Source organism: Homo sapiens, chromosome 6 (assembly GCF_000001405.40).
Source record: "Homo sapiens chromosome 6, GRCh38.p14 Primary Assembly".
NCBI lineage: Eukaryota > Metazoa > Chordata > Mammalia > Primates > Hominidae > Homo > Homo sapiens.
In genome coordinates this window covers 39,093,310-39,116,595 of record NC_000006.12, presented here as the reverse complement: position 1 = coordinate 39,116,595, position 23,286 = coordinate 39,093,310, and the positions used below count along the sequence as shown (strand labels likewise).

Below are 23,286 nucleotides of genomic sequence, written 5' to 3'. Positions count from 1 at the left end.
CACACTTAGTCTTCACCATGGCCTACAGGGCCTTACATGCACGATCTTGCCCCTGGCATCTTTATTTTCTGTCACTCTTTCCTCCCTCCCTCCCTCCCTCTCTCCCCCTCTCTCCCTCCTTCCCTCCTTCCCTCCCTCCCTCCCTGCCTCCCTCTCCCTCCTTCCAATCCAGTCATAACAGCCTCCCTGATGTTCTGTGAACAAGTCAAGCGTGCTATTTGAGGCCTCGGGACCTTTGCACTTGTTCCTCTGACTGAAACACTCCTGTTCAGATATCTACATACCTCACTCATTTAAGTCTATGCCCAAATGACAAACCTTCAGGGAGGTCTTCTCTAATACCTCCACCATTGCCTACTTTGCTTCACTTTTCTTCACAGCACTTATCAGTACCTGATATGACATGAAATATGTAGATACACATTTGTTTATTGTCTGTATTTCCATTTGGAGTGTAAGCTCTAAGAAAACAGGTTTTTGTTTGTTTTTTCCTTTCATCCCAGCATCCCCAGTGCCTGTGACTTTAGACAGAGCAGGCCCTAGGTAAACGTCTGTTAAATGAATGGATGACTCTGTTCTAATTTGTCTAATTTCTCGAGTCACCCTCAGCCAGATCCAACAAATATTTGAGTCTTAATTATGTAAGTGACACTTAGCTAGATGCTTACAGCTTTAAGAACGTATAAAACAGCCCCTAACCTGAACTGTGTCCTTTTGGGAGGGTACTGATTGGGAGAGGGCACAAGGAAACTCCCAGAGTACAGAAATGTTCTTTCTCTCCATCTGGGTGGTAGTTACACAGGTGCATACATAAGAGCAAATCTACTGAGTCATATTCTTAAGATGTGTATTTTATGTTGCACCCCAATAAAAGTTTTTGTTGTTGGTTTTTTTAAGGTTCTGACGTATCTAGACACAAAACGAGATAATTTCCCAACGTGGCAAGACCAATGATGGAGCTGCACAGCCTGCTTTGTGAGCAGTGAGAAAGTCACCCTCCAGGTACTAAGATTGGCATACCCTTTCCTTGATAAGAGAAAAAGGGTAAGATGTAGCCTGTTATTCCTCTGACGCTGGAATGTCGTAGAGATCACGGGCCTCTCCTAACCCCTGGAACCATCTTCTCACTGTGGCGCTGTTCATTGGGGCCCAGCAACAGAGATCCCGAATACAGGACGCTGGATCAGTGGGGCCTCGAGCCCTTAAGTGAGATGCAGCAAGGCAGAGCGGCCTTTGGGAGAGGGCAATGGGGCAGCCCTGTGCTTTAGACTTGGCTTGAGGAGGTGACACTGTGTCCACGTGCCTGTGAAGAGAGAACGGCTGAGTATACACGCGACCCGCCAGACTTCACAAACGGAGGAGACGCGGGTCACACCAGTGCGCATGCTCAGCAGGGGCTTCTGCCACGCAGGCGCACGGCGGCCGGCGCGGGCCGAGCGGAGGCAACTGCTGTGCGGCCTGCGGGCGCGCGCTCCCTTATCGGCCAACGGACGCGAGGCGCGCGCCATGGAACAGCGGTTAGCTGAGTTTCGGGCGGCGCGGAAACGGGCGGGTCTGGCGGCCCAACCCCCTGCTGCCAGTCAGGGCGCACAAACCCCAGGAGAGAAGGCGGAAGCAGCAGCGACTCTAAAGGCAGCCCCAGGCTGGCTAAAGCGGTTCCTGGTATGGAAACCTAGGCCCGCGAGTGCCCGGGCCCAGCCCGGCCTAGTTCAGGTGAGACGATGGAAACTTCGGCCCTAGGACCTGGCCTCGGAGCCACAGTCGAGGGCGCGGCCCTAGCTGCCGGGGGTGTGGCCCTAGCTGCCGGAGGCGGGGCTACTGGCCCCCCATCCTGATCGAGGGCCGGACCGCTCATCTCCGGCCACACGTGTCAGCACTGTTACCAGTTTTGACATTTTCTTTCCAGCCCGCGACCCACGCAGGTCCTGATTCCAGCGAGAGTCGAGGGTCCTGGGAGAAAGCACCTCTGCTCTTAAATTATTCACTCCGAATTGAGTTATCGTGACGCCCTGTGGCATTGGGAAACCTCTCCACAACCAAGTTGAGCCACAGCCCTCTGCTAATGGAGGAGGGTAAAAGGTCTAATTGGATACCGATCACAAGTAGCAGTAATTAAAACTTCATTTGATTCGCACCTGGGGCACATGCAGCTAGTAGCCCAGATAGCCTGTGACTTAGAAATGCGTTTGAATACAGAATTTACCAAAGTGTGGTAGCTGTAACTGCCGGTAGTGGCAGAAGCTTATTCCAGTTCCATAGTGAATGTTCAAGACACAAACAAAAAAAAGTGATTTAGTATGATAACCTTTTCACATTTAATTGTTTTGGTAATCTCTTGTTTTGCAGATGAATTTAATTTGCATCCTTTTGTGTTTTCATTTAGTTTTAACTCAGTAAAATGGTAAGGTGGCTTGCAGTGAGGTTGAAATGTCTATGTGGAAATACAAGACAAAACATATCAAGGGATGAGTGCTTTGTAACAATTTGTGCCCAGTGCTTTGTTCCTCATAAGTGCAATAAGAACTAAAAAATTCCTTTTAAAATGAAAATATACTGGAAGAAAAGTGTACCTTGCTCACCTTAAAATTATTTCCTGTAAGTTCATCTATTATTGCACAACATTTGATTTGAGGGAATTTTTAAAAATTACTGAACCTATTACTCAATTTTGATTTGATATTCTCAGTGATATACAGGATTCCAGCTGACTTGCAGAAAGGTGAAAAGAGCGCAGCAGAGTTCAGACAATCCATTTCCTTGTGTGCAGTTTGTGTTAATTGTCTTTGGATAATTTTATTGTTGACTAGAACTTTCTAAGTACAACACTTGCTTAAGATTTTAGAAACCATTTCCCTTATTCTTTTTCTCTCTGCAGTTAAAAAACAATGTCTAACCCATGCAATGAACTTTTGACTGTATGTCTCATTTCCAAAGGAATGAGATCATTGAGGTGGACCCAGAGAAACTGAATTCAGAGAAAAACTTCCATTATTGAGAACCCAAACGCTGATTGCCAGACAAAAGGATGAGAGGAAATGCTGGACCTCCAGTTTCTTGTTAATTGCTCTGTTTTTCCATAAGGGACTCTGCCTTAAGCTCATTTTCATTGACTTATCATTTCTGGGTTTGCTCTGGTGTGAAAATTCTCATTTAATTTTTTTTCTTCAGATTCTGCCTCTAGTTTAGAAAAGAAAAAGTCTAATTTACAATTCATGTCAGACAATTTTGATGGCACACTGTGGCCTGTCAGAGATTTCTTTAGCATTCTATTTTTTTAAATTATTTTTAATTTTTGTTTTTTTAATTGAAACAGCTTTATTGAAATAAGGTTTACATACTACAGAATTTATCTCTTTTAACATACAGTTCAAAGATTTTTAGTAAATTTATTGAGTCATGCAACCATCACTGCAACTTTAGAACGTCTCTATCACTCCAAGAAGACCCCTCTTGCACATTAGCAGTTACTACCCATTTCCAACCCCAGCCCCGCACAAATGTCAGTCTGCTTTCTATCTATACATTTGTCTTTTCCGGATGTTTCATGTAAATGGAATTATACAGTATGGTAAACACATTTTTTGTCTATTAATTTTTATATTCAACTAGGTTCAACATGTAGCCGTAGCCAAATATTTTAAATTTTCCTTCTGGAAGTTTGAAAATATTTATCTTTTTTGATACTTACTTCTCCTTCTGCTTTCTCTTTTTCATACTGAAACAGTCTTTTAAATGATTGCATTCATTGATTAATTCCTTATTTTTCCCTTCTAGCAGAAGACCTTCCTTTTCACTCTCAAGACAGCATCCTTGGATATTAATTACCTTTTGTTCATTATCCCCTTTCTTATGAGCACCATCTAGTTGTTGAAGCAACAGATTTTCATGTTGTAGTTGAGATATTCTCTCCTCTACGTAGTCCCACTTTCCAAAGGATTTACTTGGCTTAGGTCCTTTTGTACACTTTATAAAACCAAAACCTTTTCTCTGAGAGAATTTCTTGTGTCATGGAGTTTACTTTTTAGGGTATTGAATTCGAGCTTCGGAAAGTTGCTCAGTTAAAAACTCATTATTATCTTTTAGTTCAGAAATATCAGAACTCATTTTCTTTCTTGTAAAGAAACGTCTTGTGCTCTCTGTAAAGCAAGTTCTAGGTCTCTTTTTGTTTTCACACTTTGATCACACTCACTTATAGCAGCAGCCAGTCTAGCATGGAATGACTCAACTTCAGCTTCCAGTCTTTCCTTGTTTTGATTTTCCTTCTCCAGTTTAGACTTGAGCATTGTATTCTCAGTTTTGAGGTCGTTAAGCTGTTGACCATACTGGGATACTGTTTTTGTTAATGTTTTTCCATTCAGTTTTATAGTCTCTTGAAGGTCATCATTCATTTCTTTAACAATTTCAATGTCCTTTTTCCCTTTCGAGGTTCCTATTTTTTATTGTGTATACTTACATACACAATAAAGGCAATATCTCTCTTCAACAAGCAATTTTCATGCATCAGATCTTTTTTTTTCTTAAAGTATTTCTTCAAGCCTTCAATTCTATTTCTAGTGATCCGATAGTCAGTTTAAGCTGTTCTTTTACTTCAACTTCTTTCCTATGTTGCTCCACTTTCCTTTCTAACTCTTCCCTAATTTTTTCATATAACATATTAGCATTTCTTCTCATCTTCTTCTAAGCTGCAAACTGTAGAGTTCCTGTTTCCATTCTACTTTTTGATATTGAACTGTGACTTCGTTTCTTGTGTTTTGGATAGCTCCTTCAGTACACTAAACTCAGTTTTCATATTTCTTATTGTCTAGTGTAAGTTGTTCACAGATAATTTTTTTTAAGGTCCAGTGACTTTTCACATGAAAGAAATGCATTCTGGACTTCCATTAGGATACGAGAATCATTACAATCCATTCCATATTGCTTAATGAGCATCATAAACTTCTTACAATGAGGGTAAGGTTTCTCATGATCCTCTGAAGCTGTTTCAGAGGGCCGAGTTAAGTCATCAGGTTCATCTCTAAATGAGTTTGCTTTTTGACCTTTTTCTTTTCATTTGACATTTTCTTTGCAGGCCTAGCATACTCTTTGTTCTCCTTCCTAGGAAATCGCTGATGGTAAGTTTTTCCACTCTTTCTTTGTTGAATTAATTTATCATCATCGTCAGCAGATGTACTATCATATACGTTTTTTTGATACTTTTTTTTTTTAACTTTCGTGCTTCTTTCTAGCTTCTTCAACCTGTGGCTGTTTATTTTCACTTTCAAGCTTTTCCTGTTCTTCCTCTGATGTCACTTGTACTTCTTGTTCTGCTTTGGATGTTTGTTCGTTCTTCCTTTCTATTGCTTTCTTCACAACAGAATCTTTCATTTCCATGGTAGGCTTTAGGGAAGGATGTTTTTCAGGAGGCCCTTCTCCCTTTCCATTTACTATATATTTTTTCCTTTTTTATATGAAGGTCCAAGTAAAGACTTTGAAACACTCTCAGGGATACACTGCTTGGTAGTAAAAGTCAAGTCTTCATCATCTGGTTTAGGCCATGAGTCAACACACAGTTTTTTTTTAAATACTGAATGCAGATGCTTCAGAACTCCCAGAATCTTTTGCACTTGCTCCTCCTGTTTTCAAACTTGCATTCTTCTTGGATGCTTCTTCTGGGTTGTCATTTTGAAGACCATTTTCAAGTATCTTTTTTTTTTAATGTTGCAAAATTTGTTGTGAGTGCTTGTCAGACCACCAGAAATAGCATAATCTGCAGTCTGTTCATACATACTCTTGAGTAAAGACAATATTTTGTTGAAGAAGAATGCTAACTATACCTGACAAGCCATAATGTACAACAGGCATGAGAGCTGTTCTTTTCAACCTATCAACAGCATGTACATTTGCTTGTTTCTTCACTAAAATTCCACCTTTTGCTGTGTTTTGCAAACTATAGCAAGTAAAAGTGGTGTGTTTGCATCCTTGTTCAGCACTTCAGTATCCTTGTTCAGCACTTCAGTATTCACATGGTGTGAGGGCAGTTTTTCTGCCAGTAGTGTATTCTCATTATACACAGCATAGTGTAGTGCATTGTTGCTATAGACATCCATAAGATCTGGGTTGGTGCCACATTCTAGCAGAATGATGACACAAATCTCTTCTTGGCAATGTACAGCCTTCATCAAAGGCATCCTGTTTCATTTGTCACCAATGTCAGTCTGGCACTTTCAGTTCACCTGGAGAGTGACCACTTCCACATGGCCATTGGCACAGGCCAAATGTAAAGCAGTCGTGTTCATCCACAGATGAAGGAATACAGAAACTCCAGGATATTTGCACAATGGAATACTCTTCAGCCATCAAACTTTAGGACATCACCCCACTTCCAGCAACGTGGAGAGAGACCTGTTCATCCACAGATGAAGGGATACAGAAACTGTAGTATTCATTCACAATGGAATACCCTTCAGCTGTGCACATATACTGAAATCATATCACCTGGAGCCACACAGTTGAACCTGTTCATCCCTTGATGAAGGGATGACAAAACTGAAATATATATCCAGAATGGAATACCCTTCCACGACAGAAGTGGATGAAATCCTGTCATTTGCAGCCATGTGGAGAAACCTGTTCATCCGCAGATGAAGGGATAAAGAAACTGTAGTATATATACACAAATGGAATACTCTTCATCCAGAAAAATGTAATGAAATTACATCATTTGCAGCCACACTGTTGAACCTAGAGGACATCATGGTAAATGACCTGTCCTGTCCACCCACAGCTGAAGGGATAAAGAAACCACCATACAGATACACTATGGAATATGCTTCAGCCATAAAGCTTTGGGAAATCCTGTCATCCACAGCCATGTGGAGAAACCCAAGAAACCCAGAGGATATTAGGTCCAAGGAAATGAGCCTGGTAGAGGAAGTCCCACACCTTTTAATCTCAGGCATGGAGATTCCAAAAACTTTATCTCCTGTCCATCTACAGATGAAGGGATCAAGAAACTGTAATGTATATGCACAAAGAATACTCTTTGGCCATCAAAATAACTAAACCATGTCATTTGGAGCAACAAAGCCACTGCGGCCTCCATTTGGGCCAAGCTCTGACTGCAATGATGCCTCTGCCCCGACCCGGGCCTCGCTGTGACTGACAATGCCGCTGCATCTTTTCAGCAGTCATTGATGAGGAAGTATCTACATCCTCCTTCCCACTACCAGATTTTGCTTGGAGAAAAGCAGTTTCCTGAAATAATTCTGTGACGAGCTTCTTCCACATTAGGACAAAAATGCTGGTAACTTTTAAAAATTCCTACAGAAACCTCCTGCTTCCCTCTCCAGCCATATCCCAGGCAAGCCCCCAGCACACCACCCTGCCCCAGAACCCATTTCCCATACCCATCCACCACTCCTGACCTCCAGGCCTTGGCTCAGGCTGGCCTTCTGCTCAAAGGCTCTCCTTTGGAGTCGCCTGGCTAAGCACAGCTGTGCCTCACCCCCGCAAAATCTAGTAGTCATCTTGAATTTCTTCCTTTCCCTCACTATCATTCATTCATTCAACAAAAATCTTGTCATGTGCCCGCTGTGTTCCAGCTTTTGTTCTAAATCCTGGGAGACAGTGTAATTAAGACACACAAGTCCTACTCTTGTACAACTTGCATTTGAGCTTGGGGCAGCAGGGAAAGGAGGACAATAAACAAAACCAGATAAATGCTATGAAAGAAAAAAGATAAAACCAGTAGACTGTGATAGTGAATTAGGGGTGAGGGGAGCAGAGTACTATTTTAAATCAGCTGAGCAGGGAGAACTCACTAAGGAGGAGACATTTAACAAGAAGGAACCACCCTGGCAAAAACGGGGACTAAGCCAAGGGCACATACGGTGACATTTTTGCCGTTTGTAGTAGGAGGGGTCAACCAAGTGATATGAGGGGAAGGGAGCATTCCTCTCAGAGGGAACCACAAGTGCAGAGGCCCTAAGGTAAGAAGCAGCTTGATATTTGAGGAATGGCAGTGCCTTCCTTGGGCCATGCCTGTGTGTGATGTAACAGTCACAAACACTTCTTCACCCAGGTTTTACAGCAGAAGGGAACTGGTACTCCGACAAGTTCCAAATGAGGCAGAAGAATGTCCGTATCTCTCCTCTTGTTTGTTCCCTTCGTCAGTTTGTTTACCCCCCCACCCCCACACCCATCTACCTCTAGCTCCCTAACCTTTCTCCTGCCACCCCCCATAAAGGCCCCTAATTAAATAAAATATATTTTGGAGGAGACCATCCTAGGATCCGAGACTGACCTCATCTCTGCCTATCACTAGTTTTATGGCTTTAGGGAAATTACTTAACCTCTCAGTGTTTTCTTATCAGTAAGTTGGGAATAATAATGCCTGCTTCCTGGATTACCAGAGTTCATACATTGGAAGGCTCTCAGTAAATGGTGACATAGGAACATTCTTCTTTTTATACTCCCTAAATGATAAATTTAGTTTATTGTGAATCTCAGCATGTATATTCAGAATGTATTTTGTGTCCATCAGTCCACTATTTCCATCTGACTGCTGTCACCACCCTGGTCAATGTCTGGCTCTCTCTTGCTAGGCCTCCTCCCCAACCTTTTTAGCACCAGGGATTTCATGCTTTTGGTTAGTTCCCTGCTTAGACCTTCAGCTGTTTCCCATTTCCAGAATCTTCACTGCAACCTGCCTGGCCCTACTTTATCTGGCTCCCACCCTCATGCCCTCCCTCCTTAGCCCCGTCATCTCATGCTACTCTCCCCTTTGCCCAGAACACTGCCCAGATGCATTCTTCTTGGGCCAGAACGCATACTGTGCATGCATGTCAAATCTGAAACAGACATTTCTTTCTTTAATGAGTATCAGGGGTCAGGGATGTGGCTGATAATATAAGGGCCTCTCCAATCAGACTTTCTAATCTAACTGAAAAGATAATAATTACAATGTTGATGCTAAAAAAGAAGGTTCTGACAAAATAGAACTTCTGAAACATCATAAATCAGATGACCAGTATTTGTGATCCCCTTTTAAATATGCACGTGAAGAAGAATAGGGGATGTAACTGAAGAGATGAACTGAAAGTTCTGCTATGAATTGAGAACCTAAGTATGGGATGCCATGTTTGGATCTGGAGACACGTGGCTTCCTGGTACTTAAACAATCTGGCATCATACATGACATGACCTATAGTAAAAGAGAGACACTGTAGTGCTGAATAGTTTGGTGCTTAATGAACGGGAGAGCTAGTTCTGGGGGAGGCAGAGGGGGCACCCTCCCTGATGCCCAGGGAGGTCAGGGCTGACAGTTCATGAACGGTGCTTGCCTGGAAGGAAGGCAAAGAGTTAAGGAAGAAAGAGGAAGTGGACGGAATTCTAGGCTTGAGATGAGGACTGAGAATATCTTTGGGTAATAAGACCAGTTAAGCTGGAGAAGAAGGGTCATTTATGGAACAAAAGATTGTGGATCGTGTTGTCATGGAATTTCCTAGACCACTGTGACCCATTAGTGGATGGTGAAATTAATATAGAAGATCTTGTTCCCTATTAAAAATGTTTTTAAAGTAGAATAGGAAATACAAGAGAATGTCTCAGGGAGGGTAAGTGTTGACTTGTGAAACTTTGTTGCATATATGTATTCTGGATTACAGTCTAAAATGTATTCCTTATTGTAGGTCATGTTCAAAAGAGTTCCGAAAACAGTGGACTGGACACAGAGCTGTCTAAATACCTGTGTCTGCCATTAGCATCTGGCACAGGGGCCTGTCTACTGGCATTTCAATCTGTTGAACAAATTGAGGGTCTTGGGTTCCAGCCCAAGGAGTTTGGATTTTATCCTGTAGACAGTGAAAGTTTTTGAAGGTTTGTGAACAGGAGGGTAATAGGTCTTTAAGAAAATTCATTTAGCAGTTGTACATAGGATGGCTTGGGGAGGGAAGAGATAGGAGGCAGGGAGTCTAGTTAGGAGACATTGGCTGGGCCTTGGGTGAGTGACAATGACCTGTGTAGGTTAATCACGGGATGGGAAGGTAAGGGGGCCCAGTAATGGCTGTAACAGTGGTTTTTGTTTGTTTTTGAGACAGTGTCTTGGTCTGTTGCCCAAGCTAGAGTGTGGTGGTGCAATCTCAGCTCACTGCAGCCTCCGCCTCCCAGGTTTGAGCGATTCTCATGCCTTGGCCTCCTGAGTAGCTGGGATTACAGTCGTGTGCCACCATGCTGGCTAATTTTCGTATTTTTAGTAGAGATGAGGTTCCACCATGTTGGCCAGGCTGGTCTCAAACTCCTGAGCTCAAGTGATCTGTCTGCCTCAGCCTCCCAAAGTGCTGGGATTACAGGTGTGCACCTGGCTGATTTTTTTTTTTAAACGTAAAAAGGATTTTTGTTTCCTGTCTCTATTTTAGAATCATGTCACTTGTAATATTTTAGGTCATCTAATCCAATCAACAAAGGTATATTGACTCTGTATTTGAAGCATTTGTCATGACTGTTGCATTATCAGTTATTCAGGAGTTTCTGTATGGGGCACAAATTAGCTCTTCTTAGCAGCAGACTAATCTGAAGAAATGACTCCCACGAATAAGAATCTGTCTGAATACGTAGGGCTTTTATTAGGTCACATCTCACTAAGTGCTGATCAGTTTTGATTCAGTTGGAGTAGAGCACATAGGTTCTTTGGAGATGATTGTTTTAGAGAGTTGCATGAAAGAATAGAAATCAATGAGCCAGCAGCCTTCTCAGAGCAATGAAAACTGCCTTTTCAGATTAGTTTTGATCATCTCAGCTCCATTACCCTTTATTCTTTCTTTTGTTTGTTTGTGTATCCTAGGAAGCGGCTCAGCCCCAGGGCAGCACATCAGAGACACCATGGAACACAGCCATTCCTCTGCCGTCGTGCTGGGACCAGTCTTTCCTGACCAATATCACCTTCTTGAAGGTTCTTCTCTGGTTGGTCCTGCTGGGACTGTTTGTGGAACTGGAATTTGGCCTGGCATATTTTGTCCTGTCCTTGTTCTATTGGATGTACGTCGGGACACGAGGCCCTGAAGAGAAGAAAGAGGGAGAGAAGAGCGCCTACTCTGTGTTCAATCCAGGCTGTGAAGCCATCCAGGGCACCCTGACTGCAGAGCAGTTGGAGCGCGAGTTACAGTTGAGACCCCTGGCAGGGAGATAGGACCCAGCTGTGCTGTCATGCAGCTAACCTCTGATGTGGTCTTCCTCACCATTGGCTATGGATTTGATTTCAGGTGTATAGGACTAAGGGCAGCTTGCGGGTTAGCTCTGTGACTGCATAGTTTTTCTACCTTCTTTCCCTGATCTTTTGCTGCCATTTGATCTTTGATAGTTTTGGTGAAACTCTCTAAAATACATTCACTGTGGGTCCGACGCAATTTATAAAAATTATGTACTCAAGAAGGGAGACCTGTTTGTTTCATTTCTCATCTGTTTGGGAGATGATTTTAGAGCACTAGAAAGGCACTGGGGAGATTCTCAGCTTAAAACATCCAGCAGTTTGAAGTATGATTAGGTACATCAGGGCTGCATTGTCAATGTTCTCTTTAAGTCTTTTAACATTTATAGCAATTTTTTTTTTCCCGGAGAGTTTAGGTTGCAAGTTTTGGGTTTCTTGTTTGTTTTTGTTTTGCTTCCTGCTTTAATTCTTTAATTTTCAGTCATTACTGGTATTGAAAAATAAAATATCTTTAAAACATCTCCTCTTCAGAAATAGGTCCCTCTTCATTGCCCATCACCATCTTCCACTCTCCTATTATTTTGCCACTACTCAGTAAAGGAAGGTAGGAAGAGACAAACGCCTAAGTGCAGGTGTGGGGAGGGATTTCACAAGTGGTTATTAACGGCCAGTTCAGCAAGAAGTGTTGAGTGTGTACAAAGGGGAGGGCTGGAAGTGTTAACTCCAGACCCGTTGGCTGCTTGAGTTGTTTCTTATATTCTAAAGCAGCAGTCCCTAACCTTTTTGGCACCAGGGACCAGTTTTGTGGAACACAGTTTTTCCATGGACGGGGTGGTGGTGGAGGATGAAACTTCCACCTCAGATCATCAGGCATTAGAGTCTCATAAGGAGCACGCAACCTAGATCCCTCGCATGCGCAGTTCACAATACGGTTCTAAGGGCTTTAGAGTAAGCAGCTTTTTCACCTGTGGGCCTCTGGTGAGAAATTCTGTAAATTGTGATAATCAGGCTGGATTTTAATGCTGCTTTTCCAGTACAATGTTAGAGTTTGGGTTCATTAAAATTAGGCAAACTCCCATTGGGTTAGGGCTTCTCTCATTCCATTTTGTGGCTAACCTTACTGTGTTTCAGCCCTTGCTGAAAATTCTTCTGATATGTGTTGCCCTTCCTCACAGCCCTTTGGCCATTGGGAGTTTGGCTGTCCCTCAGAGCCATCCGGTCAAGCAGATGGTCTGTTCTATCTCACAGAAAAGTCTTTTCTTCCATGAGTTCTGTCTGAACTGAACATGTAAAAAGTATGGGAAACAGATGAATCCCTATTAAACATGAAGTTTTGATTGTATTTAAGATACAATTTTGTTGACTGATTTATTTTCTTAAGGCTTTCTTAATTTTCTTGATACTTTCCTTGGGCTTTTCTGTTTCATAAAAGCCCCATACAAGGGAGTAATTCCCTAATCTTAAGTTTTACTGCAGTGCTCAGGGCAGTAAGCATTGCTGTAGGAAAGAACTAATTTGTATTTTAAAAACATATAATTCAGACTTTCCCCTAAAACAAAATGCCTGTAACTCTGAATTAGGTTTGATCCAATTAGTAATCCCAGTGGGGTAAAGACTTAAGCACGCATGAGACTTGACCTATGGGTGGACCTCAGTAGTGATTTTTGAAATGCAGCTGTTTTTGAGGTGGAGTCTAGATTGCCTCAAACCCATCTTGCATGAGATTTTCTGTGAACAATTTGTCACTTCTAACCTCTTACCAAAGGTGCATGTAATGATGGCATTAACTTCTAGGAAAAATAGTGTGTGAATCAATTAATGGCCTGGCAGGGAGAAGAAGAAAGAACAATAAGTATTTGGTGCTCTGATCAGACCATTAGGTTTTAGGTGCAGCCTTGATTTTCCGAATTTAGGCCTATTGATCTCAGAATTTCCACTCACAGCCTGACCATTAACCCAGCATGCAGCTTCCATTAAAGGATTCTTCTGTCATCAGGGAACTTGAAATCCCAGAGGTAGATGCAGTCACTGTGATAGCTTTATACACGAGTGAAGTCGTTTGTGTCCAAGTCTAACAAGTAACTTGGTTTTTGCTTTTATTCACATTATCCCATCTTGCCTATTGATAGGGACTGTTCAACAAGACTCTACATCTAAAGTTGGAAGGGACCCCAAAATACCATCAAGTGTGTTCCCCACCCCCAACCTTGGGCAGGGCCATCATTTATTCCCAACTAAAGATAATTTGTTTCTAGTGAACCCCTAAAGAAGATTCCAGGTACTTCCTAGGAAGTTCTTTATGTTTACTGAAAGAACTTTTGCCACCCCCATCCCCGCCATCTGGGGTTATTTTGTCTCCTAATCTCAGTGGATGTGGAGTCCCTGGAGGCCTATGTGAGCATCCTTCACACTGGTAAACCTTTACTCAGTTCTCTTTTCTCTCTGCTCTTTAGGCCAAGTCATTGAGCTATACCTCTGGGACTCAATCACTTTCATGCTAGCCCTGACCTATTCTAAGTGTTTCAGGTTTGGGTGGGGGTGAGTGGCCCTGTGGATGGGTATAATGATCTTTCTCAAAAGCTTTGGAGCTTTGCCAGTGATGACTTAGGCATGTGTATTTTGTGCTATTAGAGTTATGCTTTGAGTATAGGCTGTCTTTCACATTTGCCTTTTGACTGATCTGTGCGTCAATCAAAAAGCTCTGTGCTGCAAAATCTTAGAAAGTTACAGAATTGAAAGAACCAGTGACCCTCAGTTGGGCAGAAGACATCAAAATTCGAGCTGTGTGTTTTTAGTTCCTGCCACTCATACCAGCAAATATTTGTAGATGCCCTGGATTTGGCGCTGCTGGGGACACACACATATGAGCTCCTGCATAGGATGAGCGTCCCTAAGAGCCCGGGGATGCAGGGGTGGGGTTGGGATGTCATGAAGCATGTTGCCGCCAGGCGGTGGCGTAGAGCTGCCACTATACCTCACGGGTCCCTTCACATCACACTTGAAAATTTACGTAATGTGGAAAACCCTCTGGGATGTTTATCTCAACCGCTTGTGCTGCTTTTTCAGATGTTTTTTTCAGTTTAAAACTCACAGAGGAAAGGGCCCATCAGAGGTCCTGGGAAAGGCATAGAAAGCTACCAGAAGTGATTTATATATGTATTTAAAAATAAAACAGCAGCCCCTCTCTAGACTTAGCAGGCAGTGTTACAGTTGCTTGCACATAGCTAAGCTTTGCGGGAAGGGGAGGTGGAATGACTAAGAATTTACATAGTTGGCAGAGAAAACCAACTCCCTAAGCCAAAGAAAGTAACTTTTGAACCATATGCTTTGGTTTCTATCACACATAATTTTATTTCACAACTTTGGAGCACTAGGCTACATAAAGACTTGGATCCCATTCTCAAAAATCTGAGAGAGAAGACAAGATGAGTGCACACAAACTGTATTATAAAGTACAGGACATAATGTGAATGTTTATAAAGGTGTAAGGTGTGTGTGTGTGTGTTCAAGGGAGAGATCACTTGCAGTCCTAAATTCTATACTATATAGGATTTTCACTTCTATGTGAAAAATACTCTTTCCTTAACAAGTCATGGATGAACGTTTTGAAAAGTATGGTCTATAGACCACGCACCTGCATAGGAATCTCCTGTAGTAATGTTAAAATGCAGATTCCAGGGCCCCCACTGACTCAGAATGTCTGAGGGTAGAATCCTGAGAATCTGCATTTTAACAGCCTCCCAGGTGTGATCTCTGGCACAATAAAGATTAAGAGCCGCTGACGTAAACAATAAATGTTAAAATAGGAAGAAAATTTAGTGATTATTAGATCCAAGCAAAGAAAATTGGTGTGCATTTTTAAAGGGAGCAATGAGGCTTGCTATTTTTCAAACTGTTCATTTGGAACACCAAAGCGAGAGACGAAGAAACATAGCTTTAAAACAATGAGGAGCTAACTCCAAAGACTACGTGGAAATTAAGTCCTTTATTTTTGAGGTTTTCTCTAAATGATTACAACAAGAAGTACATGCTCATTTTAGAACATTTTGGAAATACAGGAAGGAATAAAATATTGTTGTACTTCTATGCATATATTTTAGAAGCCAAGAGGTACATGGGGTGTATAGTGAGAACATCTCCCTCCACCCTGCCATGTTTGTTCTTTCTCAAGCCTGCAAATGACACCATTCTAAACACGCTATTCTTTCCCTTGCTTTCTTTTTCTTTCTTAGGAGTTTGAGTTTTATTTATGTGCATTTGAAGTTTTTATGTAAGGGAGTGATATGATCCAATTTACTTTTTTTTTTTTTTTTTTTTTTTTGAGAGACAGAGTCTCACTCTGTCACCCAGGCTGGAGTGCAGTAGCATGATCTGCCTCCCAGGTTCAAGCAATTCTCCTGCCTCAGCTTCCCAAGTAGCTGGGACTACAGGCATGTGCCACAACACCCAGCTAATTTTCGTATTTTTAGTAGAGATGGGGTTTCACTATATGCTGGCCTGCCTGGTCTCAAACTCCTGGCTTCAGGTGATCTGCCCACCTCGGCTTCTCAAAGTGTTGGGATTACAGGCATAAGCCACTGCAGCCGGCCCCCAATTTTCATTTCTAAAAGATCATCCACGCTATGGTGGGGAGTAGATTATCTATGTCATTCATTCATCCATCCATCTATCCATTTACAGAGCATCTAAACTTTGCCAGTCCTGGTGCTGGGCGTAGCTCATACAGACATAAGGCAGACAAGGTTCCTTTTCTCAAGGAGCTCACAGCAAATGGGGGAGGTAGCCAATAACCAGACAGTTACAGTGCAGTGTGGTAAGCCACACTGAGTATGTCGTCTGAACGAGGACCACAGCATCAAAAGAGGATCTTAAATCACAGGTCAGGAAAGGCTTCCTGGAGGCAATGACACTGTGCTGAGTTTAAAGGAGGACTAGGTACTCCCCCAAAAAAGAAGGTGGGGGCAAAAAGTAGCATTTTGGTCAGAGAAAACCACCTGGGAGAAAGGTGATAATCATGAAGGAGAATAACAAGCTTGGATGCATTCTGAAGACTTGGATGTTTAGGAACAAATAAAAGGAATTGATGAGAGGCAATTCCAGAAAGGAATATTGAGTGCCTCTTGCTTTTTGAGCAAACAATATTTCTTAATAATTACATCAGCACAAATAGAGCTGCTTCCTGCTTTTTCACAGCTACAGAGTGTACCATTGTATGGATAGATTATAACTCAACAAGTCTCCATTAATGTATATTTAGGTAGTTTCTAATCTTTTGTTGTTGCAAACAATGTACAACAAATATCCTTGCACATATGTCATTTCGACATATGGGAATACTTCTCTGGGATAATGTCTTAGAATTAGATTTGCTGGCAAAAGGATATTTGACTGAAAATGTTGATAGATGTTGCCCTGCGTAGAAGTGATTCTTATTTACATTCCTACCAGCAATGTATGAAAATGCCAATTTCCTCATATCCTCACCAACACAGGGTGTTTTCCCAACTTTCTGTACTTTGCCAATATCTGAGAAGTGAAATGACACCTCATAGTTTTAATTTAAATTTCTTATTATGGGAGAACATCTTTCTATAAATTTGTGAGCCATTTGTATTTATCTGTGAACTCTTTTAGCTTTTGCGTGATTTCTGTTGAGTTCTTGGGAATTTTAAAATTTCATTTAGGAACTCTTCATAAATGAAGAAAATTGGCTCTTTGAATTATGCATTTCAAATATTTTTGCTCAATTTGTTCAAACTTGTTGCCGTTTTTGTTTCTGTGTGGAAATTTTTTGTTGTCAAATTTATGTATTTTATGACCTGGGTTTTTGTCATACGGCAAAAAAATTTCCATGTTTACCCATTGCTTTCATTTTCTATATTTAAGTTTTTTATCTATAGTATTTAGTTTGGAGTGGGGTTACAGATAGGGATCCAGCTTTATTTATTCAGGCATCTATTTGTTCAGGTATCTAGTTCCCTCAGGTTTATTTATTAAATAACCCATCTCTTTCCTGCTAATTTAAAACCCTTCTGTATCATATACCACATTTCTTGTGTATTTGTATCTATTTTGGGCTTTCTGGTCTGTTCTTTTGATCTGACAGCTTTTTCACTTTTTATTATTGTAGCTCTTTAGTGTGTTTTAAAATCTGAATGGGCTAGACACCTCTTTATTACTCTTATTTTTGCTTTCTTTTTTAAAACTTACACTTAACATGTTTATTTTCTCCCTGAGTTCTTTAGAATTAACTTGACCAGGTCCCCAAAATTTCTCTTGATATTTTCATTAGTTTCACATTAAATTTACAGATAACTTAAGGAGAAGAAGCACCTATAAGTTATTGTTTTACTGTTCAAGAATACGGTATGCTACCATTTGTTTAAGCCTCTTTTACTGTCCCTCAGTTGCATTTTCAAGTTTGCTTTATATTGATCTTACTATTCCCTGTTATTCCTGGTTATTTTATCTTTTGCTATTAAGTTCAGTAGATCTTTTCTTCTATTATTTCCTCCAACTTGTTGTTGTGTATGTGTGTATGAAAACTATTGATTTTGGTATATTAATTTTGTACCAGTCCTTTACCAAATTCTCTTACTAATTATAATGATTTTTCAGTTGATTTGCCTGGATTTGCCACATAGGTAATTATTTCCTTTTCAAATAATGTAAAATTTAGTTCTTATTTTACCTGTGGGGTTTTGTTTTGTTTTGTTTTGTTTGTTTTGTTTTTTGAGACAGGGTCTTAATCTTGTCACCCAGGCTGGAGTGCAGTGGAGCAATCTTGGCTCACTGCAACCTCTGCCTCCTGGGTTCAAGCAACTCTCTCACCTCAGCCTCCCGAGTAGCTGGGACTACAAGTGTGCGCCGCTATGCCTGGCTAATTTTTTGTATTTTTAGTAAAGACGGGGCTTTGCCTTGTTGGCCAGGCTAGTCTTGAACTCGTGGCCTCAAGTGATCCTCCCCTCTTGGCATCCCAAAGTGCTGAGATTACAGGTATGAGCCACTGTGCCCGGCCTCTTTTCCCAATTTTTATGCCTCTTATTTTTTTCTGTTTGTCCATTACGTTGGCTAAAGCACCCAGAAAAATATTAAATCAGAATAGTAATCAATGATATCTTTGTTTTGCTCTTGACTTTAATGAGCATGTGCCAGTATTTCCCACTAAGCATGATCCTGGCTTTGGGGTAGTGAATAGATAGACAGACAAACAGATATCTTAAGAAATTACTCATCTGGGCCAGATGCAGTGGCTCACGCCTGTAATCTCAGCACTTTGGGAGGCCAAGGCAGGCAGATCACTGAAGGCCAGTAGTTTGAGACCAGCCTGGCGAACATGGAGAAACCCCATCTCTACTAAAAATACAAAAATTAGCCAGGTGTGGTGGTGGGTGCCTGTAATCCCAGCTATTGGGAGGCTGAGGCATGGGAATCACTTGAACCTGGGAGGTGGAGGTTGCAGTGAGCCGAGATCGTGCCACTACACTCCAGCCTGAGCGACAGAACAAGACTCTGTCTCAAAAAAAAAAAACAAACAAAAAAGAAATTACTCATCTGTACTTACGTTATTTAAAAGTTTTTCTTAAATTAAGAATGGATGTAGAATTTCACAAAATCTCCTTTCAATGTAGTGGAAATTAATCTTATGGTTTTTCTTTTTGATCAATTAATATAATCAATTAATATTACAGATTTATATATTGAACCATCCTTTTATTCCTGGAATAAACCACCCTTGATTGTGATGTACTATTTTTTGATGTGCTGATAGATTCTGTTTGTTAATAGTTTTATTTATGGTTTTTATCAGTGATTTTCATGAGATTGTAGTATTTTTTAGCACTTTAGATTTTGAAATGTATAAAAAGCATATTTTTAAGGTCTTCATTATAGATTGCTCCCTTTATCATTATGCAAAGCCCTCTTTGTTTTCTTTATTGCATTTTGCCCTGAATTTATTCTTATCTGATATTAAGGCTGGAAGCCCTGCTTACTTTTTGTTTGCATTTGCCTCATGTGCCTCTGCCCATAGTTTTGTTTTCAGCTTGAATTATTTTTATTAGGTATGCTGCTCGTATATAAAGACTAGTTGGGCTTTCTTTTATAATCTATTGTGAGAATATTTTCTTTTAATAGGTGAGTTTAACTTATTTATGTTTATGAAAGTCTTGCTTATCTCATCACATTTTATATTATTCTGTTTAGGTAGCTTCTTTTACCATATGGTCTCTGGGTTTTTTGTGTTTGCTTGTTTTGTTTCTGTGTATGTGTGTTTCTTTCAATAATCTAGAAAGTTTACATTTCTGTTTCAAGTTTATATTTTTAACTTTATATTGATTACTTAAAAATTGATATTTTTAGGCAATGTTTATTAACATCTGTAAAAAATAAGTGTAATAAATTTATATTTCCACCTTCTTCCTACTTTTCTCCATCTTCCAACCCCCAGCTCTACTGATTTATTGACTAATTGATTGACTTTGTATCTTTAAATATAATTACAACCTACTACTTGAGTTATCAGCCTTAAATGATATATTTTGACCTGATAGATAATGAAATCAACATACCACCACTACCTTTTATGCCTCCTCTCTTCCTTCCCTCATTTTATTAGTTATACCCTATTGTTAAGGTTTATAACATTTATATTCTGTTCTTTAGTCCTATCTCTACATTTGTTTTAGTCTTAGTCCTATCTACAATTGATTTTTTTCACTTAGTGATTAACTCTGAATATATTCTCATGTTATTGTCCTATAGTATTGATTTTGACAGCTGCATAATATTTCTGTATGGATAAATGTGCCAGCCTTTATTTAGCCAATCCCCTATTATTAAACATTTCAGTTGTATTCAGTTGTCACTAGCATGAATAGTACAAACCAGGCTAACCTCTTTGAAATTTAAAATTCTATATTTCCATCTCTTAGAAAAGAGTAATTAGAAGCCAATCCCTATTAAAACCGGATCTCACACTTTAATCACCAAATCCCCTGGTGATCTCGTGAAAATGTGGATTCTGATTAAATAGGTCTGGGTCAAGGCCTGAGATTCTGCATTTCTAACCACCTCGTAGGTGATGCTGATGCCACTGGTCTTTGGACCACACTTTGCATAGCAAGGTCTTTGAATACATTTCATTTCTAGGGAATTCTACTTGAATAAACAAAATGCTGGAAAACATAGTCTATAGCAGTAGTTTCACTGTGTCTTATGATACAGTTTAAAATATCACATTTGTATCATAATAACTTGTAGCATATAATTATTATTTGTGAACATTCATTTTACAATTTTCTTAAATCTCATTTGTTTGGGCTTATTGTGGATATGTCCCTGGAACCCTCTCAGATGTGTACATCCCTGTCACATGGAAAAAAAGGCTGAGACCAGAAATAAAGCAGAGGTCAGACGGGTACCTTAGAATGAGGCAGTGAAAAGAAACCTTTGGACCTCAATTTGTAAATAATATCTGCACTCTTAATCTCTTGGGGATGTTGTTCAGTAGGTAGGTGGTTGTTTAGGTGGTTTTATCCTACCAGGCCCAAAGTGATCTGGCCCCTGCCTCTCTTTCCAGGTTACATTCACCTCCTTGGTTTGGCAGACTTTCTGTAAAGGGCCAGTTGGTAAATAGGCTTTGTTGACCAAACTGTCTCTGTTGCAATTACTCAACTTTGCCATTGTAGAGCAAAAGCATCCATAGACAATATATAAGTAAATGAATGAGCCAATAAAACTTTATTGATAAAATCAGGTGGTGAACCATAGTTTACTGATCTAACAAACTAAATATGCTTCTTTCTGCTTTAGGGTTTTCACTGTTGCCTTTTCTGGGAACTCACTCCCCTAGATGATCCTAGGTCTTGCTCCCTTACTCCACTGGGGTCTCTCAGATGTCACTTCATCAGAGAGGCCTTCCCTGACCATCCAGCCTAAAATAGCACCCTACCCCCATATCTCCATGTCCTTTACTGCCTTTCTCTCTCGGTAAATATTTCATTGATTGCTTCACTAATAATATTGATCTTATTTTAATAACTCTTAGAGAAAAGCATATGTGCTGACAGGCAGAGTATTCTTTATATACATGGCAGTTCATTTACAGTGGACCATCTCTAGGGACAGAAATAGCTTTGTTTTGCAGAGCTTGTTTTAATCATTTTTCTTCTAATGACTTTTCCTCTGAGATTTAGACTAAGTTTGGCAGTGCCAAACATATTGTGAAATGGCACCAGATTGGTATGAAACAATCGCCTTGTTCTAGATCCTCATCAATAAAAAAAAATGTCTTTGGCTATTCTGGCTCTTCTCATAGATTATTATCAGGTTCTGTCCCATATATAATTTTCAAAAAACTATTTCTGCAAAGAGGAGCATTTCCTAGACAATTTGCATTTTTCCCAGAATCCTCATGGCCTAATAAAAGGCTGGGCAATGCAGGGTGAGTAGGGGCCCTGTAAGAGACATTTCCTGAAGAAACATGATCATTTTGGAAATTCATGTTAGAATCTGATCGCTTTGGAGGATCCAGCCCCAAGGAAGAGAGAGAAGTCAGATTCTGAAGTTCATGTAAGGTTTCTGTGATCTTGCTGCTATAGCCTTTGGAAATCTACATCTATGCATCATTTTTAGTGCGGCTGAAGAAAGCTGTTCTTCATGTGGGTGGCCAATGCAGAGGGTGCATGAGCCCCACACTTCATTATGGAGATGACTCTAACTTGGGGGTATTACTGGGATTTGGGTGGCTTGGCATGCTCCCAGGAGATATGCACCATGGATACAGAATGTCTCAAGAGCTATTGCATTTCTCATGTAACAAGTGACAGCAAGACTAACTCAGTCATGGAGCCTGAGAGGTAAGGGCCCCTTCCTGCCAGAAGGAAGGTCTGTATTTGAGAAGCAGATGTTGTTCAAGGCTAGGAGAGTGAGTGAGAGCACTGCCGTTACAGCTGATTCTGAGACCCCACGGGTGGCATTCTTTCTGGACTTGTGGCACCACCATGCCTTGTTTGGCAGGCTTCACAATCTTTACCAATTTCTAGAAGGTGTTTTTGTAAATGCTTTATGTAGCTGGGATGTTATAGATGTTTTTCTTGACAGCTGAGAATATTTCAACACAGTATAATTCTTAATGTAACATGGTTCTTTCATATAATGAGTGTACATGAGAAATCTTTTCATCTGTATTTTTTTTTTTTTTTTTTTGAGACGGAGTCTCACTGTGTCTCCAGGCTGGAGTGCAGTGGCGCAATCTCAGCTCACTGCAACCTCTGCCTCCGGGTTCAAGTGATTCTCCTGCCTCAGCCTCCCAAGTAGCTGGGACTACAGGTGCACGCCACCACACCCAGCTAATTTTTGTATTTTTAGCAGAGATTGGTTTTCACTATGTTGGCCAGGATGGTCTCGATCTCTTGACCTCATGATCCACCTGCCTCGGCCTCCCAAAGTGCTGGGATTACAGGAATGAGCCACTGCGCCCAGACTTCATCTGTATTTTTAACTGTACCTTTCCAAAGGATGCCATTGGAAGGACATTGATTTAACTTAACTAGGGGGAAATGTCTTTGCTTTGGTGTGTGTCTCTGGTTTGGCTTCTCTAGTCTCTACTTTTAACACCAGGATTTGAAAGATGAAAGAGCTTGAGGGTGGTTTTATTGTCAAGTAGCATCTAATCGATGGGTAGCAGAGGGTTTTATTAAAGCTGTAAATTCAATTTCCTAGGAATTTTGAAGGTTCAGAAGGGTTCTGGAGGGCAAAAATATGGTAAAACACTGCTTTTTTTTCAGCCAGAAATGTACATAATGGTTACAGATTGTCAAAGACTGGAGCTAAAGGGTAAAGTAACCATGGCCTTTTTGTTGTCACTATTTAGTTTGTGTAGTTGCCAAGTGTGTTTCTAATGCAACCTTAGGTCATCGGCATTAAAAAAGTTTTGTGTAAATATCATTTACTGCCTCAAGTCCTTGCTCTTTCACCCTAAAGATTTGGAAAGTTAAAAAAAAAAAAAAGCCTGCTAATCGCCTCTGGGTGTTACCAGCCTGCATTAGCTCTAAGGCAATCCATCCCTCAGCATGGGACTCCCCAGTGTTTGTAATTCTCAG

The 23,286-nt window shown here is 40.7% G+C and overlaps 1 protein-coding gene and 1 pseudogene across 2 annotated transcripts, besides 1 other annotated feature; one reads left to right on the top strand and one right to left on the bottom strand.

Moving 5' to 3' along the window:
• Nucleotides 1–1,409: 1,409 nt before the first annotated feature.
• On the top strand, nt 1,410–12,533 carry SAYSD1 (SAYSVFN motif domain containing 1). Of its 2 annotated transcripts, NM_001304793.2 has the most exons (3): nt 1,410–1,713; nt 2,876–7,282; nt 10,820–12,533. In NM_001304793.2, exons 2-3 carry the CDS (start codon nt 7,277–7,279, stop codon nt 11,162–11,164), a joined length of 351 nt encoding a protein of 116 aa, NP_001291722.1. In that variant the 5' UTR covers nt 1,410–1,713; nt 2,876–7,276; the 3' UTR covers nt 11,165–12,533. The 2 variants fall into 2 exon arrangements, with proteins under 2 accessions (NP_001291722.1, NP_060792.1); NM_018322.3 differs by lacking the exon at nt 2,876–7,282.
• Nucleotides 1,527–1,816: an enhancer, noted in NCBI's record as "active region_24488". NCBI's record gives its function as "activates an Ori minimal core promoter by ATAC-STARR-seq in GM12878 lymphoblastoid cells {active_cell/tissue: GM12878}" and the evidence as "EXISTENCE:reporter gene assay evidence [ECO:0000049][PMID:35858748]".
• On the bottom strand, nt 3,677–6,272 carry ANKRD18EP (ankyrin repeat domain 18E, pseudogene; annotated as a pseudogene).
• Nucleotides 12,534–23,286: the final 10,753 nt, after the last annotated feature.

What these genes read in the sequence shown, in the direction of transcription:
- SAYSD1 (NM_018322.3), top strand. Translation starts at nt 1,507, where the DNA reads ATGGAACAGCGGTTAGCTGAGTTTCGGGCGGCGCGGAAACGGGCGGGT. An exon ending in CCCAGCCCGGCCTAGTTCAG is followed by an intron (nt 1,714 to 10,819) that starts GTGAGACGATGG and finishes TGTGTATCCTAG; the next exon opens with GAAGCGGCTCAGCCCCAGGG.